The 19,048-nt window shown below is 33.2% G+C and overlaps 2 annotated features.

Moving 5' to 3' along the window:
* Positions 17,246 to 17,924: an enhancer, noted in NCBI's record as "OCT4-NANOG-H3K27ac-H3K4me1 hESC enhancer chr7:119654795-119655473 (GRCh37/hg19 assembly coordinates)". NCBI's record gives its function as "activates a minimal SCP1, AML or CMV promoter by ChIP-STARR-seq in naive H9 embryonic stem cells {active_cell/tissue: H9 hESC(naive)}" and the evidence as "EXISTENCE:reporter gene assay evidence [ECO:0000049][PMID:30033119]".
* Positions 17,925 to 18,603: an enhancer, noted in NCBI's record as "OCT4-NANOG-H3K27ac-H3K4me1 hESC enhancer chr7:119654116-119654794 (GRCh37/hg19 assembly coordinates)". NCBI's record gives its function as "activates a minimal SCP1, AML or CMV promoter by ChIP-STARR-seq in naive H9 embryonic stem cells {active_cell/tissue: H9 hESC(naive)}" and the evidence as "EXISTENCE:reporter gene assay evidence [ECO:0000049][PMID:30033119]".

Here is a 19,048-nt window from a genome sequence, read left to right as displayed (position 1 = left end):
TTTTGGAAAATATTTTATGATAAACAGTAAATAGTTATATATGTGTGTATATATATATACACACACACAGTGATATTGATCATAAGATTGATTGTAGTGACAAAGCCACAGTTAAAAAACTTGGTTTTGAAATATTATATAACAATTAAAATAACTATCTAGAGTTCTCTTTCATCTCTCTATATCTCTATTCAGTTGTCTATCTGTATATCAATTCATCGTCTATTTATCCATCTATTAAAATAGGAGAGAAATATTCATACCATGGAGTTAATTTAAAAATAAGTTTCAGGCCGGATGCAGTAGCTCACACCTGTAATCCCATACTTTGGGAGGCAGAAGCAGGCGGATCACCTAAGGTTGGGAGTTCAAGACCAGCCTGACCAACATGGAGAAACCCCAATTCTACTAAAAATACAAAATTAGCCGGCATGGTGGCACATGCCTGTAATCCCAGCTACTTGGGAGGCTGAGGCAGGAGAAGTGCTAGAACTCGGGAGGCGGAGGTTGCAGTGAGCTGAGATTGTGCCATTGCACTCCAGCCTGGGCAACAAAAACAAACAAAAAAAGTTTCAAAATTATACACTTAATATAACTAGATTTATGCTCCTTTCCTTCCAAAAGAAACCTCATAATAATGACAATACCCCAGGATGTATAATTATTTTTTATGTGCATAAAAAATAAAATAATATTAGTATATAGATATGATATAGTTTCAAATTGCATCATGTGGAGATTCATAAAAAATGTTTTAGAATATTAAAACTTGGAGAAATGTTTACTTATAGTTTTAATTGATTTTCTGCCATGGTTTTTCAATTTTGAATACTATAACACTGCTGATTAAGAGTTATGAAAGTTACCTATAAGTAATTGCCTTAATGAATACTTGCCAAAATATGTTATTTGCTCTCCTGAACTTAGGTGTTATAGATTGATTTCACAATTAAAAATAAAGAATTTTCTTTTTCTCAGTTCTGCTAAAGTTTTTTATTAATATGAGTGCATTTCAAGTTCATATAATTAAATACATTGTGTTTTATATAAAATAAATACAGGTGTATGTATACCTGTAACATGAAACTACATACAATGAGTTGAATTGGGATTAAGAATCAAATCTAATAGAAAATTACTTAATTCAATAGAGCTGGATTATAGGCATGAACCAGCATGCCCAGCTAAAATCTTAATTAAATAAATAAAATCCTTACTCCTTTGATATGAATAATGTTAATAGGTAATAAAGACAATATTAACAGAATTTTAAGACTGTACTAACCATCTAGAAGGAGTCATATATTAAGTACATAAAAGTATGCGTTGAATAAAATTGTCTTGCATAGAAGGTTGTAATATTTGGAAATGATAGTATAAAAGAATATCGGAGTACATATTATTGCTTTAAAGATCTTGGGCAAAATTTCTGCCTGAACAGATTATGTAAAAATGGCAGAATTGAACTGCATCAAACTATCATTTTCTTTCAGTATTCAAATAAATGAACATTAAAAATAAAATCCTTGAAAAATCGCTGCCAAGTAATGATTCTAGAAACTGGAAAAGCTGCCAAGAGTATTGGCATTCAGTACTCTTATTGAAGCTTGTAAGCCCAAGAGGTCATAGGATGGGCAAATAGAAGCCAGAAATTCTTAATATGAGCCTCAAACATGAAGAAAAAATTCTGAAGCAGTATCTTTACCATACACTTATTAAAACTGGTGAGTTCTGGAAAGTGCTGCCCACATGAAAGGGGTGGAGAAGCTTAAGGTGCATTGAATTTTTGTTCTTGATTATTTCTTCCCTTCACTGTAAGAGAAGCATACAAGTCTTCCAATTGGCATTTGCAGCACTTTCATGGGTAGCATGTGAATTTCTTCTCCAATATTAGGCCCAAAGGTGTGACTTGCTGGGGTTAATAAAATAGGAGTAAAAGCAACAGTATCCAAATTCTAAGCAGCTTCATGCAGCATTGCATGCGTCTACTAATTTGCTCTAATAGAAGTGTGAATTTCAAATTACATAATAAATTGAGAATCTAATCTGTAGCAGAAAAGTAATAACAGGTACTCATGTCTAATATATTTATTCATTCTTTCATTCAAAAATCATTAATTAAGAAGTTACAATGCACTAGTTTCTATGGCAGCTATTGAGGACACAGTGTGAGGGCATTTAACATCATTGCAGAAACCGAAGCAGAGCTCAGGTATTCTAACAAAGACTACACACTGCTCATCCAAGTATCTCCTTTCCTGTCATGCTTTCAGGCTACCAAAATGTGGCTGGCAGAAAAAATCACTAGTTTTAAACAGTAATGAGGCAGGGAAGATAAGCAATACAGACATGATAAGAACATGGTCAAGACTGTCAAAGACAGAAGAAAAGATCTTGACAAAGCTATCCAACAACAAAAACAAAAAAGTGAAAAGAAATGGAAAGGTAGCTCTGCAAACTAACCTATGAAAATAAAAGCAAGGATTATCCCATGAACAATGTAGATTGGTATGACGCTGACACAGAACAAATGACTTAAAGTATTGTAATATTATTTTTAATTTAAGAAAACAATATCTATAAGACATAATGTAAAAGAAAAAAAGAAGGAAAATGTAGCTTGCAGACCTAACTAATTAGATCAAGGACCAAAAGAACCTCTGAGAAAATAAGAAAATTAGTTCAACATAGCAAGAAACAGAGTAAACAAGGCAGAAATAATGCAATCACATAGACTCTTTATGATCATTTATATTATAGAGAAACATTACAGAAATTCAGGTGGGAGGGAATAATTATTTTTGTCATCAAATGGTGGAAAAAACCTTACAGGAAGGGAAGCCAGTCGGCATAGCCTCAAATTTCTATCTATCATCATTTAAATGCTCGCAAACACATCAATGATGATTGGAAAGCTCTAAATAATGGAAAGTGTAACTTAAGAACATTACACTCAATTTACATGTTTTCCAAGCATAAAATAAACTAACAGGCTGTGTAGTAAAAGAACTCAGGTATGACAACACAGAAGCTATCCATGATATATCTACTTAAAGACAAATTTTAATCAATTAGAAAATAAGCTAAGTAAAGAATTCAAGAAGAGAAAAGCATCCATCCATATCTGAATCAATTTAAAACAAAGCTAGTATAAATATCTACCTAACACATCAAAAATGTCATGTTAAAATGTTACAGCAATAAATTTACTAACAAAAAATTTAAAAAGGAGAGGAGAATTTAGGAGACATTTAACAATGCTAGTGACTTAGTAAAATGATGATTTGTAATTTAAAGCAAAGTTAAAAATTATGTAAGGATTCCATCCTTAATATGTTTCATAGTTGCTTTTCTTAGCCTTATTCTGATCTTTTGAGATAATGTTTGGGTGTGAAAACTTTTAAACAAAACACGTCTACAATCTTTCGTGTTAACTTCACTTTACTTTTTGATGTTAGATTAAAGACTAAAAAGTTTCCTTAACATAACTTAGGAATTTTGAACTATTTTGATAAAAATATAAATAGATAAATATATGTGTATCATTTGATTGATATGTATGCATAGGATATACCAGGGATGATATTGTTAATAATTAACCATGGAATATTAGTAGGTTAATACAACAATGTATGAAAAGAATTACATGTCATTAACAAGAGGGATTTATTTAAGGTATGTAACAGTGGTTCAACATACAAAAATCAAATAATGTAATCGACCATATGAACAAGATTACAAATAAATCCGTATGATCATAAAACACTTCACAAAATAAATATCTAGGAGTACATACTTATGTAAATAAAGGAATCAAGTTGGCTTCATTCCTGGGATGCAAGTTTGGTTCAACATATGCAAATCATTAATTGTGATTCATCGCATAAACAGAACTAAAGACAAAAACCACATGATTATTTCAATAGATGTAGAAAAGGCCTTTGATAAAATTCAACACTCATTCATGTTAAAGACTTTCTATAAGCTAGGTATTGAAGGAACACGCCTCAAAATAATAAGAGCCATATATGACAAACCCACAGCTAATATCATACTGAATGGGCAAAAGGTGAAACCATTCCTCTTGAAAACCAGCACACGACAAGGATGCCCTCTCTCATCACTCCTATTCAACATACTATTGGAAGCTCTGGCCAGGGCAATCAGGCAAGAGAAAGAAATAAAGGATATTCAAATAGGAAAAGAAGTCAAATTATCTTTATTTGCAGATGACATGATCCTATAGCTAGAAAACCCCATTGTCTCAGCCCAAAAGCTTCTTAAACTGATAAGCAACTTCAGCAAAGTCTCAGGATATAAAATCCATGTGCAAAAATTGCTAGCATTCCTATACACCAACAACAGGCAAGCAAAAAGCTGAATCATGAATGAACTCCCATTCACAATTGCTGCAAAGAAAATAAAATACCTAGGAATACAGCTAACAAGGGAAGTAAATGACCCCTTCAAGGAGAACTACAAACCACTGCTCAAAGAAATCAGAAAGGACACAAACAAATGGAGAAACATTTCATGCTCATGGGTAGGAAGAATTAATATCATGAAAATGGCCATATTGTACAAAGTAATTTATAGATGCTATCTATAATTTATAGATGTTATCCCCATTAAGCTACCATTGACATTCTTCACAGAATTAGAAAAAACTATTTTAAAGTTCATATAGAACCACAAAAGGGCCGGACTAGCCAAATCCTAAACAAAAAGAACAAAGGAGGCATCACATTACCCATCTTCAAACTATACAAGGCTACAGTAACCAAAACAGCATGGTACTGGTACAAAAACAGACACATCGACCAATGGAAGAGAATAGAGAACTCAGAAACAAGACTGCACATCTATAACCAACTGATTTCCAACCAACCTGACAAAAACAAGCAATGGAGGAAAGGACTCCCTATTTAATAAATGGTGCTGGGAAGGCTGGCTAGCCATATGCAGAATATTGAAATTGGCTGGACCTCTTCCTTAAGCCATATACAAAAATTAACTCAAGATGGATTAAATAGTTAAAAGTAAAACCCCAAACTATAAAAATACTAGAGGAGGATCTAAGCAATATCATTCAGGACATAGGCACAGGCAAAGATTTCATAACAAAAATGCCAAAAGCAATTGCAACAAAAGCCAAAATTGACAAACGGGATCTAATTAAACTGAAGAGCTTCTGCACAGCCAAAGAAACTATCATCAGAGTGAACAGACAACCTACAGAATGGAAGACAATTTTTGCAATCTATCCATCTGACAAATGTCTAATATCTAGAGTCTATAAGGAACTTAAACAAATTTACAAGAAAAAAACATTAAAAAGTGGGCAAAGGATATGAACAGACACCTCTCAAAAGAAGACATACATGAGGCAAAAAAAATATGAAAAAAATGTCAACATTGATCATTACAGAAATGCAAATCAAAACCACAGTGAGATACCACCTCATGCCAGTCAGAATGGCTGTCATTAAAAAGTCAAAAAACAACAGATGCTGGTGTGGTTGTAGAGAAAAAAAGAATGCTTTTACACTGTTGGTGGGAGGGTAAATTAGTTCAACCATTGTGGAAGACAGTGCGGTGATTCCTCAAAGATCTAGGGGTGGAAATACCATTTGACCCAGCAATCCTATACTGGGTATATACACAAAGGAATATATGTTATTCAATTATAAAGATACCTGCATGTGTACGTCCATTGCAGCACCGTTCACAATAGCAAAAACATGGAATCAACCTAAGTGCCCATCAGTGATAGACTGGATAAATAAAATGTTTTACATATACACCATGTAATACTAAGCAGACACAAAAAGGAACGAGATCATTTCCTTTGCAGAGACATGGATAAAGCTGGAAGCCATTATACTTAACAAACTAATGCAAGAACAGAAAACCAAACACCACATGTTCTCACTTATAAATGGGAGCTATATAATGAGAACATATTGGACACATGGGGGTGGGGAACAACACACATTGGGCACCAGTGGGAAGGGTTGGGGAAGGGAGAGCATCAGGAAAAATAGCTAATGGATACTGGGCTTAATACATAGGTGATGGGATGATCTGTGCAACAAACCACCATGGCACATGTTTACCTATGTAACTACCCTGCACATGCACCTCTGAACTAAAAATAAAAGTTGAAGGAAACAAATATAAAAAGAATAGAAAAATATCTGCAGGAAACTTTCAAATAATTTGTGTCCATACTATGCCCTTTAGTAGTTGGAGCAGAGCTCCCTATTCCTTAAGTGTAGGCTATCCATAGTGACTTTCTTCCAAGGATTATAGTACAAAAAGGGGTAAATCAGTAATTTCGTGGAGAAACCCAGCAAACACTACCTCAGCAAAGTTATCAACATCAACATTAATTGTGGTAATTAATGTTGATAGTATATGTTCTTAATATGATTCATGAAAAATGGCACTTATTCTCTGTGACTTCCTTGCAAAAACATAACCCTAGCATAATCATGAGAAACACATTGCACAATTCCCAATAAAAAATATACGATATACAAAATATTTGACCAGCATTTTTCAAAGCTGTCAAGGTTATTAAAAGCAAAGAAAACTGGAGAAATTGTTATAGCCAAGAGGAGCCTAAGGGGACATGGCACTTAAATGTAATGTGGTAACCTAGATGGGACCCTGGAACAGAAAAAGAACATTAGCTAAAAGCTAAAGACACCTGAATAAAGTCCAGGGTTGAGTTAATAATACTGTATTAATATTCATTTATTAAACATAACAAAAGTATTATAGTAATGTAGGACATTAATAGTAGGGGACACTGAATGTGAGGTATATGGGAAATCTCTGTGCTATTTTCACAATATTTCTGTAAATCCAAAACTGTTCTAAGCAATAAAGTCTATTTAAAGGAAATTAATGATGAGCAGAGCTAGGTGGTGGTTTTGGGGGAATGCATCTCCATTATTGCTTTGATAAGAGAATTTAAACTTAATATAAAAATAATAGTGTTTAAAAAGTGAAAAAATTTCAAAAATTGTAGATAATTTCATGATATTGGGTGCATCTGTTTCTACTGAGTCTGTTTTACATTACTATAATTTATTTTTTGTTGTAGTATATAAAACATTTAAGTATGTTTTATATTGCTCTATTTTATCAATGGCTACACAATAAGAAATCATTTTTGAAAAAGGCATGATGTACTTACAGAAGTGCATTATTTCTTTCTCTCATTTGTGCAATATTGACTGAATATCTTCTTTGATATCTTTAGATCTAGATGTTGAGAATTTAAATTACAAGAAAACAAAAAAAAAATCCAAAAGAGGATAATGAAAAGAAAATTATTGCCCTTTTGTGACAAACCTACCAGACTTCTCATTATACATCCATCTAACCCTTTTTAAAGTTAATCATAATCTTACCTATAACTTTATTATCTAAAATTATAAAAATTAGATTTAGCAAGTTTCTTTATAATACAATAGAGTTTACCTAATATATGCATACATATTCCTACACACACACACACATGCTAGGGTTTCTGAAGGTTCAGATAACCCAGCCTTTGTATGTAACTACGTTGACATATTCTCTTCAAATTTTCTATTCTTCCAAAACAATCTATCTGCTTAAACTCTAAATCAACTTTAGTGTTACTAGTAATAACTTTAAGTCTTCATGTTATCAGGTATTTTCAAATATTGGCATTACTTTTGTCTAATCATTAGTCTGATGTATAGAAGTGCTGGGCCTTTTGTAACTGAGAATATTTCTAATGGCATATAATTCATACTTAAGGCAGTGCTCTTTTAAGTAAAAGAGTGTATTATATAATGTAGGTTGATTAAAAAGATATGGTTTCTGTGAAAGGCTGTCTTGTCTTAGGTATTTTCCAGTTCATAAATCAGCCTGTTTGTGATCAAAGTTGTTTCTATTTATAGAAAGAAATGGACTCAAGTTTCATAAATCTTGCACTGGGGTGTGATGCATAAAAATACAGAAAATAAAAATGTGCTTCAGCAGGGAGAGACCTATACGCAGACCTCTAGCCAAGAAATAAGAAACTGTTAAAAATGTTCTTTTTGTCATTCTTCACTTAGACATGATTGCACGGAACTTATAATTTTCTCTCTCACACTCACGAGCACACACATACACAAGCTGTTATGGACTTAATGTTATAGACTGATCCTGCTCCCCCAAATTCTTATGTTGAAGTCCTCACACCCATATGTGATGATGTTTGCAGGTGGAACCTTTGGGAGATAATTAGGTTTAAATGAGGTCATGAGAATGAGGCCCTTATGATGGGATTAGTGCCCTCATAAGAAGAGGAAGAGAGGTAAGAGTTCTCTCTCTTTCTGCCAAGTATGTGCACGGTGAGAAGGGTTGCCTTCAAGCCTAAAAAGTGCTCAGAATGAAAACCACCTTCCCGGGACCTTGATTTCAGACTTCCCAGCCTCCCTAACTGTAAGAAATAATTTTCTATGTTTTAAGCTACCCAGTTTATGGTACTTTGTTATAATAGCTTGAGTTGACACACACCCCCATCAAAGTTTAACATTTTCTTGTAGTCCAGAAACATACAGAATTAATGAATCTTGTGGATTAAAATACTATCCCACCATTCAACTAAGATACCTATAAATAGATGCAAAATGACACAATTCCACCATTGTAAAAATCAGGAAATTATAATGTCGCAATCTTGTAGTATGCTCCCATGCCCAAGGCCTCAGCGATGTTACTGTGAAGAACTTACCAAGCTTCCCTTCATTATGCAGTATATTGTCCTTTAACTTCTCTCAATTTCTTCCTTTCCTACTTCCTCTCTTTCTCCCTCTCTTTCTCTGTCTCTTTCAATCTGGTTATACAGAGTTGCCTGGGAAATAGTAGGAAGATGCTTTCAATTTTTCTCACAGCCTATCCAATGAGTCAAAGAATCAGTCTGATGACATGAAAGCTAAGCAGCCAAACATATTTTGGCTGTTCGCTGATTTTTTTTCTTCCAGGCAACCTATTGACCTTTCAGTACTTACAATTTTTCACATGCATTCAAAGGTGGTGATTCTCAGGAGAAAAAAAAAGTTATGGAGTGCAAGAGAAATGTGTGAGTGTGTTGTGGGGGCTGCTGACAACGGCATTTTAAATACTACAATGTACAGTTCCCACAAATAAAGCACTAGAAAGAAGTAGCAGAGAGTGGGGGAAAAGGAGTTTATGCTTGTTTTGAAAAATCTTTCCTCATGTCAGAGCTACAGGTAATCTAATAGTAGGTTCACAAGGAATGTTGCCACGTTAGAAGAAAGATGTTCAAAGTAAGAATTTGAGGGAATTTATGGATTACACTTGGAGCTCTAGGTGATAAATGGTTCTTTAAATGTAAATCGAAAAGGAAAATGTGCAAGAGGACAGACAGCAAATTAATGATAGTAAAATAGTTGTTTATTATTATTATCATTATCCTTATTACAACAACAGCAGCAGCAACCACTAAAATTAACTACATATTGCTCAATTCCAGTTACTGTTTTCAGGACTTTGCACGTATCATATTATTGAATTCTCAAAAAAACTATGAAGCATTTGCTATTACTAGCCTAATTTTACAGATTAGGAAACAGAGATGTAGGATGTTAAACTAATTATTCAAGGTCACACAGCCTGTAAACAGTAGCATTTGAAACATTAACACAGTATATAAGGCTCAAAATTTGTTGCAGAGATCTTGAACTGCAGCCTCTTCCTAGATGATTAATAGTATGATTTTTAATGAAAAAACAATAGAATTTAAGTAACATTTTTTATTAGGAATTATACAACATTGCTGTGTGTGATTTGAATATAGACTATATTCTAATTCTAACCTTCAGTATCACAGTAATTCTCTATTCTTTTCTAAAGCTAAGCTCCTCTATTCCCTTTCACAATATATTATTTTAAAAGGTTCTAAAAATCACCTAAATCTTTACAATCCTAGATCTTGATTTATTTTATTTTTAAATATGGAACAGTTAATGAGCTTCCTATCCTCTGAGATTTATCTAACTTGAAATCTAAGAATGCCACAACCTTTCTGGAAGTGTTTCTAATAGATTAGCAATTAATTTAATTAAATGAGCTCATTTTTATTTTTAATGAAGTTGTTACTGTAGTAGTCATTTTCTGAGTATTGTACTTCAGGTATCTAAATATAGTTCTTCCATTTGCCTAAATAATACCTTGTGTAAATTAAAACAATACCTCTTTATTTCAATGCTTAATCTTCTCTCATTCACAAAGATGCCAGTAAATAGTTCTTTGGGTCTTTCCAACATTCAGAAACTGCCACAATGTTTTCAGAGAAAAACAATCATTACATAGTTGTATTATTTTAAGTAAAAATAGAATAGTTAAACAGGGATGTGGTAGATCACCATGACTGCTACTTTATTTTCCAATATTGAAATATTGACTTTAATGATAACTCTAACAACAAAAAGAAGCATTGGAAAGCAGCCAGGATATTAATTTACATGTTCTCTATATAAATGTTATAAAAAAGTTGAAGGAAAGGAGAAAAGCATGCCTTAAATTAAAAAAATAATTAAAAATAGGAGGAAGGGAAAAAGTAGGGGTGTAAAGTAAAAAGTGACAAAAATGTTTTTGTAACTTGAAAATGTTAAGCTAATACTAATTTAACTTACATGCTTTATCTGGGAAGAGGTGATTTCTATAAAGGAGAAGAAATTAAGCAAATCTGAGTTAGAATGGACAGTGAGACTGTCAGGATATATATATATGTATGTATGATATTGTGTGTGTATTATATATATACATAGCCATATCAATAAAACATATAATCATGTGGAACACTAACAAACTTAGTAATGCATGCTAATACATAGGGAAAAACTCAGTATGAAGAGAATCCAGAAGATAGAGTTTGAAATAAAAAAGCAGGTTAAAGAACAGAGTAATATGCTCATCCTAAACCAAAGAAAAGTTTCGTAACAGGTCTAGGCATTTTCTAGGGATACAACATGAATTGGTGATTCAAATGATGGAAACAAGGTGAATTTCCTCTGTTTGTTAAATGAGGTAGACAATAGACAGTGATTAAAGTATTAACTTTTGCAGAGACACCGGAAGCTGAGAAATCATGTTGAAAGTGGGACTGGGGATGGAGAACTGATTTAATTTAGTTTCCTCAGCTTCATATTTTTTAGGGGACGAAGAGAGAGGGGATATCTTTCAAGAAAAGGCACTGATACCTAAAAAAAAGTTTCATGGTCCTTTAAATCTTTTAGAGGAAATATATTTTCTAGCACTTGTTACACAAAGAAAAACAGTTTAGTGAACTGTACACTGTTTGGAAAATTCATATGTTGTATTCAGTGTTTTTGATGATGTAAGATTGGGTCACAGCAAAAATATGCAATTTTACATTCCCTGAATATTTTCCTAGATTACAAATACAAAATACTACACTGAAATATTACCAATATTTCATTTACCTTCAAATATGAAGACAACACTTGTAAAAAAAGGAAATATTTGTAATTAAATCTTGAAACAATAAATAAAAATCTTTATGAAATAGAAAAGTAAAGATCTCCAAACAAAAATACTCAAAAACTAAGAGAGAGAGAAAAAAGAAAGAAAATACAGATAACCTTCAAGGATTAGAGTATCTAATAGATACATGGGAATCATAGTCTACCTCTCATTAGGAAAATAAATATATTTTGATTTACCTGAAAGTACACAAATTCTGAGTAGATGAGTCTCTAAGGCTATATTTCAGAAAGAAAATTTTAAAAACCCACAGAAGACAGTACAGTTGGCCCTCTGGATCGATGGATTCCACGTACTCAGATTCAACCAAGGTGGACTGAAAATATTTTTAAAAACCCACACAATAAAAATTTAAAAAATTTTTTAAAAACCCACACAATAAAAAATATTTATTTGTTCATAAATAACTTTATGAGAATTATGGGAATTGTGCATAGGTTATATGCAAATAATGAACTATTTTAAATAAATTATTTCCCTATTCACTGATTTGGGAATCAATGGGGGTCCTTGAACCTATTTTGCATGAATTCCTAGAGACAACTGTAATGAGTTACAAGGAGAACAGGTACACAAGTAAATAAGTATTTTGATAAGTCATATAACAATATGGATATCATGGTTATATTTGAAAGCTAATTAGCATATTTCAATTTGATATTTAAAAGCAACTTTAAATTAAAATGTTAGATGTTGATAATATAGAAATTAGCAAAGAGGAAGTTGACAATTTTAAAGAAATATTCTAATTTACTGAAAATATACATATGTAGTTCTTTTTTATTGAAATTAATGGAAAAAATCCTGAAAGTATATATAGAACCATAAAAGTATATGAACTCTCTCATTCAAACTCGTAAAGTAAGAAAAACGAAAATGAAAGAAATTCAATCAGTGTAAGAGAAGTCAAAGAAGGAAAATGAAGGAAGCATTAATGGAAAATATAAAACACAGAATGCCACATTTAAAGTGAATTCATATAAATCAGTAATTTTGATAAATAGAAATAGATTAAACACTCCTTTGAAAAGCACAGATTCCTTTGAAACCTAATAAGTAATTCCGAATAAATCAGCAATCATGAAAAATATAAACATACATACTCTTTAATATGCAGAGGCTCATTTGAATTGAAACAACTTTCTTAGAAAAAGGTAGAGCAGATACGTATTTAAATAAATATGGAAAAATTAAATGGGAAGTCAGAATTTAGAGACACTACGTATAACCAACTTTTTCAAAGGAGTTTTTCTATAACATAGAGGAAAGACAGTAGCTGGTGGAAAAAAGTAGGAATAAAAACAGATTTTTTTAAAGAAGGAGAAACAGCAGCATTCTGTGCACATGGATATGATCCAGTGAAAAGTGAAAATACAGGCGCTTGGAGAACCACTACAGCAATATTTAACATAGACAACAAGACATGCCTACAGTTTATGAATCAAAATATGGTGTTTTGATATAATAATTAAATGAAGAAAACAACCCTTAGAAGAGATATGGGAATGAGGAGGCATGGGTTAACACATGTGTTCTAATTCATGATGGTGAATCAACAATACTCTAAAAAGTTAATTATAGTAAATAAACTCAAAACCCTTAAAGATAGATGTAATAGTAAATATCAGAAGAGCTAAAACAAATGTTTACCACTAGTTACCTTTGTGAGTGAGAAGATGAAGACTTTTATTTTAAATTTATATTATTCTGGGCTATTTGAAAATTATTACAATGTGGATGTATTTTTTTAAAAAAACACTTTCATATAACAAATATGAAATAAGCTTTATGAACAAACAATGTGAAGTAAACAAATATGAAACAAACTTTGAAGTAACAAATTATGCTACATCTTCCAATGGAACATAAAGATGCAATTACATAGAACAAAAATAATCTACACGTTAACAATGAAAGATTTTCCAATATATTATTATGTGAAAAAATACAGTTACAGAAAAATATGTATTAAATTCTGAATGTATGCATTCGGGTATATTGGGGAGGGGAAAAGAAAATCTCTTTGTTAGCTGAATATTTTAAAAACCATGAACATGCATTACTCATATAATTATCATATTCTTAACTAATACATTTTAATAACTAATAAGAATTCTAGATGTCAAAGGTTTCTGAGAAGTGTTTGATCATAATATAGTGATATATACCAACTGGGAGGATAAAAATCTTTCTCTTTTAATGCTGGAAGAAAGTCATGGAGCCTCCATTAACATATCAATTTGATCACTTTTATTGCTATTAATTACTGACCATTGATGCATAAGTATCTACCTACTTTTATTTAGAATTGCTACAGAGATGAGGACAGTAGTTCAGATCTTACCTTCCTGCACTGACTCCCTTGTACAGTATTTACTACAACCTTGAATCTGCACACGTGAATTATGAGAATAACTTCAATCATTTAATCAGACCATTATATATGCGTAAATTCTATTTGTTGTCAAAATAAGGAAACTGTCCTACATTGTTATTTATCCTAGAATAAATGATATTGACAATGGAGTATTATGTCCTCCTCTTGTATGCTTTTAGAAACATTAATTTATTTGGGTATATAAAACAAAATAAGATCTATTTATTTAGTTGTATTAACATAACTGTAGAGTGGGGAAGAAGGGAAGATTTAGGTGTTATAGCTCAAATCAGATCTTTTTTGTGCCTTAACCTCAAATGTCCGTGGGAAATACCTAATTGTCTAATCATAAAGAAGAAAAACTATATGTTTGAGAATAATCAAAGGCTTCCAATTTAAAATGACAGAATTGCCTCCTAGAGGAATGAGAACCAACACAGGGAAAAAACTTGATATATCAGTCAACACATTGTGAACAAATATCATATTTCATCAAATCCTTCTCTTGTTTGTTATAATTCTTTTGAGTCTTTTCCTTTTTGATTCTTTTAGACTTGTTTTTATGTTTCTATATTGTCAGATGGTCTTCTCGTTTAACATGTACTGATTCTAACAAATAGAATTAGCTAATGTTATAAAATCTGTTGTTAATAATGACTTAAACATAAATTATAGTATTTCACAATACAAATAATTGGCATTTATCTCTGTTTTCTGATTGTAAGTTTTGTATTACAAGCAATTCAACATTATATTGGGGGCCTACTGTGTGCCAGGAACTGTCCTAGAGAATTGGACTATATCTGTGAACAAAATAGAATTAGATTCTTTTCCCCCCCAAACAAATTCTGAAAACATTATGAACTGTGTTAGAAACTGAATTGAATAGAGAAACATATATTTGCTCCTTTTCACTCCAATGTTTTTAATATTCTTAGAAAACTTATGGATATTATGAATTCATAGATACAAATGCAAATCCAGATGAAAACTGTGACCTGCATGCTGGGATTGCAGAGTACCAGGCTGTATTGGGAATTAGAAGCCTGGCAGATGATGGATGGTGACAGCATTGTTTCACTTAATGAAGTGGCTATTGAAGCTTAAAGGAGGAAAGATGACAAAAGGGAACTGAGCACTTCTGTCTGTGGAAGAAGAAAAAGCTTTATATTATACTAAGGAGAACTGTACTCACTACTTCTTTTTGAACTTCATTAATCTTTTCTGAGAAAATCTATCTCATTGTCAAGCAGCTTGATGGCCACTTTGGGAAAATGCCTTGCTTCTTCATAATGGAACCACTGCCTTCATTATCCTGAGGCTCCAGTGATATTCCACCTTCACAGAACTAATAAGAGCAGCAATGCTCTGGAGAAGTCAGTGTGAAGATGCCAAATGGTACCGTTGAGACAACATTTTGCCTCCTGGGGCAATTTTTCTTTATTAATTTGTTACTGAGAACAGCAACACATAGAAGAGCCAAATGATGTTGCTGAGAATTTTTATGCAGAGACATTTATATTTGAGTACAAGAAAGAGAAGCTTTTGAAGTTCTAGTGAATCTTTTCTGTAGCCTGATCTTAAGGTTTAATAGTGCAAACTTTCACTGAAGGCAAAACAAAATGTCACAACAAAAATATATATCTATGAAAATCCACACTTCTAAAAGCAGACATTTTCCAGTGCCAATCCCCAAAGCTTTCCACAGTCCTTATTTATATCTATTTTTATACAAAGAAAGCAGAAGAAAAACAAATGCAAATTACCTAAGACTCCTTCCTTTTGAAAATATTCAAAGTAAAAAATATGAAACAAACTTTCAAGTAACAAATTATGCTACATCTTCCAATGGAACATAAAGACGCAATTACATAGAACAAAAATAATCTACACATGTTAACAATGAAAGATGTTCCAATGTATTATTATGTGAAAAAATACAGTTACAGAAAAATATGTATTAAATTCTGAATGTATGCCTTTGGGTATATTGGGGAGGGGAAAAGAAAATCTCTTTGTTAGCTGAATATTTTAAAAACCATGAAGATGCATTACTCATATAATTATCATATTCTTAACTAATACATTTTAATAACTAATAAGAATTCTTTGAATATTACAATATAGACTTTTATTAGCAGAAAAATCATTTTTCATATAAGAATATCTAAGTAATTAGGAAGTATTTTTAAAATGAATAACTCATTATTAATCATTGCTTTTCTTTTAAAAACCATTGGGCAGACAGCTTTTGTTTTTAATGTGTAGTCAATTAAATCATTTTGGTGCTCTAACATAGCTCAGCTGTATCATACTTTGCTTTCACAATGCCTTGATGTTTTGTCTTTGATATGACTGTTTTTTCTTTTAAATCACAGGTACTTATTTTCAGCCTTGTTTTCCTCCATCGGTTCCTGCATCTGTGCAGGGTGGAACTGGCTGTGTATCAGTTCCAACCCATTAATGATAGGGATCACAGACTAAAAAAAAATAGCCTAGAATGCCAATGGCTGTGTGGAGAAGGCAGAAAATGAGGACAATGTCTGCTGCTGGCCTAATACTTTGCCTTAAAAATGTAGTGTTGTGTTCTTGGGGGTTATTATTCTTCAATGGTTCAGAAGAGAATTTAGAAAACTGGAGTTAGCAGTTTTCTTTTATTATCTTTACTTAAGCTTGTACCTAGAATAGGCCAAAATGGAAACACTGCTCACATCTGACTATGAATGTGAACATTCAGAATAAACAAGTAGAATATTACAAATGAGAAAATAAAAGGGGCTTTTAAAAAGTGTTAGCCATATTTTTTTTTCAAACATTCTTTGAGATATAACTGGCAGCCAGACTAATCCAGGATCCAGTATTTTGGCTAACCACACAAGGGGAACATAAATTATTAATTGCAGAATTTCAATTACACATTTATTTGAATCCAATATTCCTTTGCTTTTATGGTTTATTAAATCAGCATAAAACTACAACTTAACCACACTATTAAACACATAGATTCAGGTACTTAAACAGATCTAAGATGAGAATTAGACAGAAGTAACTTATAAAGGTTTCTTCTTTCATATCATTTTTTCCTTAACATATTATTATCAACAATTTTTCTAAATGGAGGTTTCCACTTTCAGCACTGACATGTAAAAATCCTGGAAGTTGTTACCTGTGTCCTTATGACAAGAAAATACTGAACAAATGCAAAATCAATGACTCTTGTTAGATGTGGCAGAGAAAGGAGTTTCCACAGGCAAATGTTGAATGTCACAGCTGAGAACCGTTTACTGAGAACAAACACTACTGGAACCGTAGAGTAGTAAGTACACTTAAATGCTAATTTTAATAAATTGTTTGAAGCTGAATTGCTGGACTGAGATTGAGAATTTCCTAAGAGGGCATGTAGATATAAGAGTGCCCCAACAATTTCCTGGGTTTTGCTTCCAAGAATCCAACCACATTCTCGTGGTAAAAATCCAAGAAATATCACTCTGTGGCTTGGGCAGGGGCAGGAGAACAGTAATATTGTGGAAATGTCTTGGTCATTCATTCTCCATAACAAAGGACTGTTTTCCAGGGGGAAAGATTGAACAAAGCTTTGTTCCAAAGCAGTGGGGGACTGGCATTCCTCTCACTCCTGCCCACTGCAGTTTTTCTGTTCTTTCTGAGGAAGTAGGGAACTATATAAGAATTAACACATGTAAATGTCATAGAAGAGAAACAAGAGTCAATAAAAAACTGAGAAACCTTCAACATCAATATCAACTGACAGAGCTGCACCAAGACTTAGCTACTTCCTCCGAAGTGTCATAACTGCTTCACCCTACCCAGCAAGTGCCTTCACATTCCCTGTATTATTCAGGGTTCTGCAGAGGTACAGAGCCAATAAGATATATGTTTCATGCGTGTCTGTGTGAAGAGACCACCAAACAGGCTTTGTGTGAGCAACAAGGCTGTTTATTTCACCTGGGTGCAGGCAGGCTGAGTCCGAAAAGAGAGTCAGCGCAGGGAGATAGGGGTGGGGCCGTTTTATAGGATTTGGGTAGGTAAAGGAAAATTACAGTCAAAGGGGGTTGTTCTCTGGTGGTCAGGGTTGGGGATCACAAGGTGCTCAGTGGGGGAGCTTTTTCAGCCAGGATGAGCCAGGAAAAGGAATTTTACAAGGTAATGTCATCACTTAAGGCAAGGACCGGCCATTTTCACTTATTTTGTGGTGGAATGTCATCAGTTAAGGCAGGAAGAATCACTTCCTTTGTGATTCTTCAGTTGTTTCAGGCCATCTGGGCGTATACATGCAGGTCACAGAGGATGCGATGGCTTAGCTTGGGCTCAGAGGCCTGACATTCCTGTCTTCTTATATTAATAAGAAAAATAACATAAAGTAGTATGGAAGCGTTGAGGCAGTGAAGAAAAAAAATTTTTTTGCGGGGGGTGGTATGGAGAGAGAATGGGTGATGTTTCTCAGGGCTGCTTCGAGCGGGATTAGGGGCAGCGTGGGAACCTAGAGTGGGAGAGATTAAGCTGAAGGAAGATTTTGTGGTAAGGGGTGATATTGTGGGGTTGTTAGAAGAAACATTTGTCGTATAGAATTATTGGTGATGGCCTGAATACGGTTTTGTATGAATTGAAAAACTAAACGGAATAAGAGAAGGAGTAAAACAGGTATTAAAGGACTAAGAATTGGGAGGACTTAGGGCATCTAATTAGAGAGTGCTTAAGGAGATTCAGCATAGTCCTGCCAGCAAAGATTATTTACTTTAAGAGTTAAGAGTGGCGGTTTGGGGATAGCACTAGGAGATATCAGCTGTGATGGCTTGGAGAAACAGTGTAAACTGGCAGTGTAAACAAGAGCAGGGCATGTATGAGTAGCTGAGAATGGTGAATAGGAGTATGATTAGACAGAAAATAGTAGGGATGACAAGTTTTTTGGGGCACAGTCTAAGTTGGTCTGGTGTCTGGAATGAGACTGGGGCCTAATAAAAAGGAGCGTCGATACAGGAGCTCAAATGGGCAGTACTTTGTAGCATTCTAAGGACAGGCCTGAATTCTGAGAGGGGAAAGTGGTAAAAGTATTGTCTAGTCTTTTTAAGTTGGTGGCTGAGCTTGGTGAGGTGTGTT

This window comes from Homo sapiens, chromosome 7 (assembly GCF_000001405.40).
Source record: "Homo sapiens chromosome 7, GRCh38.p14 Primary Assembly".
Taxonomy (NCBI): domain Eukaryota; kingdom Metazoa; phylum Chordata; class Mammalia; order Primates; family Hominidae; genus Homo; species Homo sapiens.
Note: the sequence above shows the minus strand (reverse complement) of the source record. Positions and strands in the feature narration are given on the sequence as shown.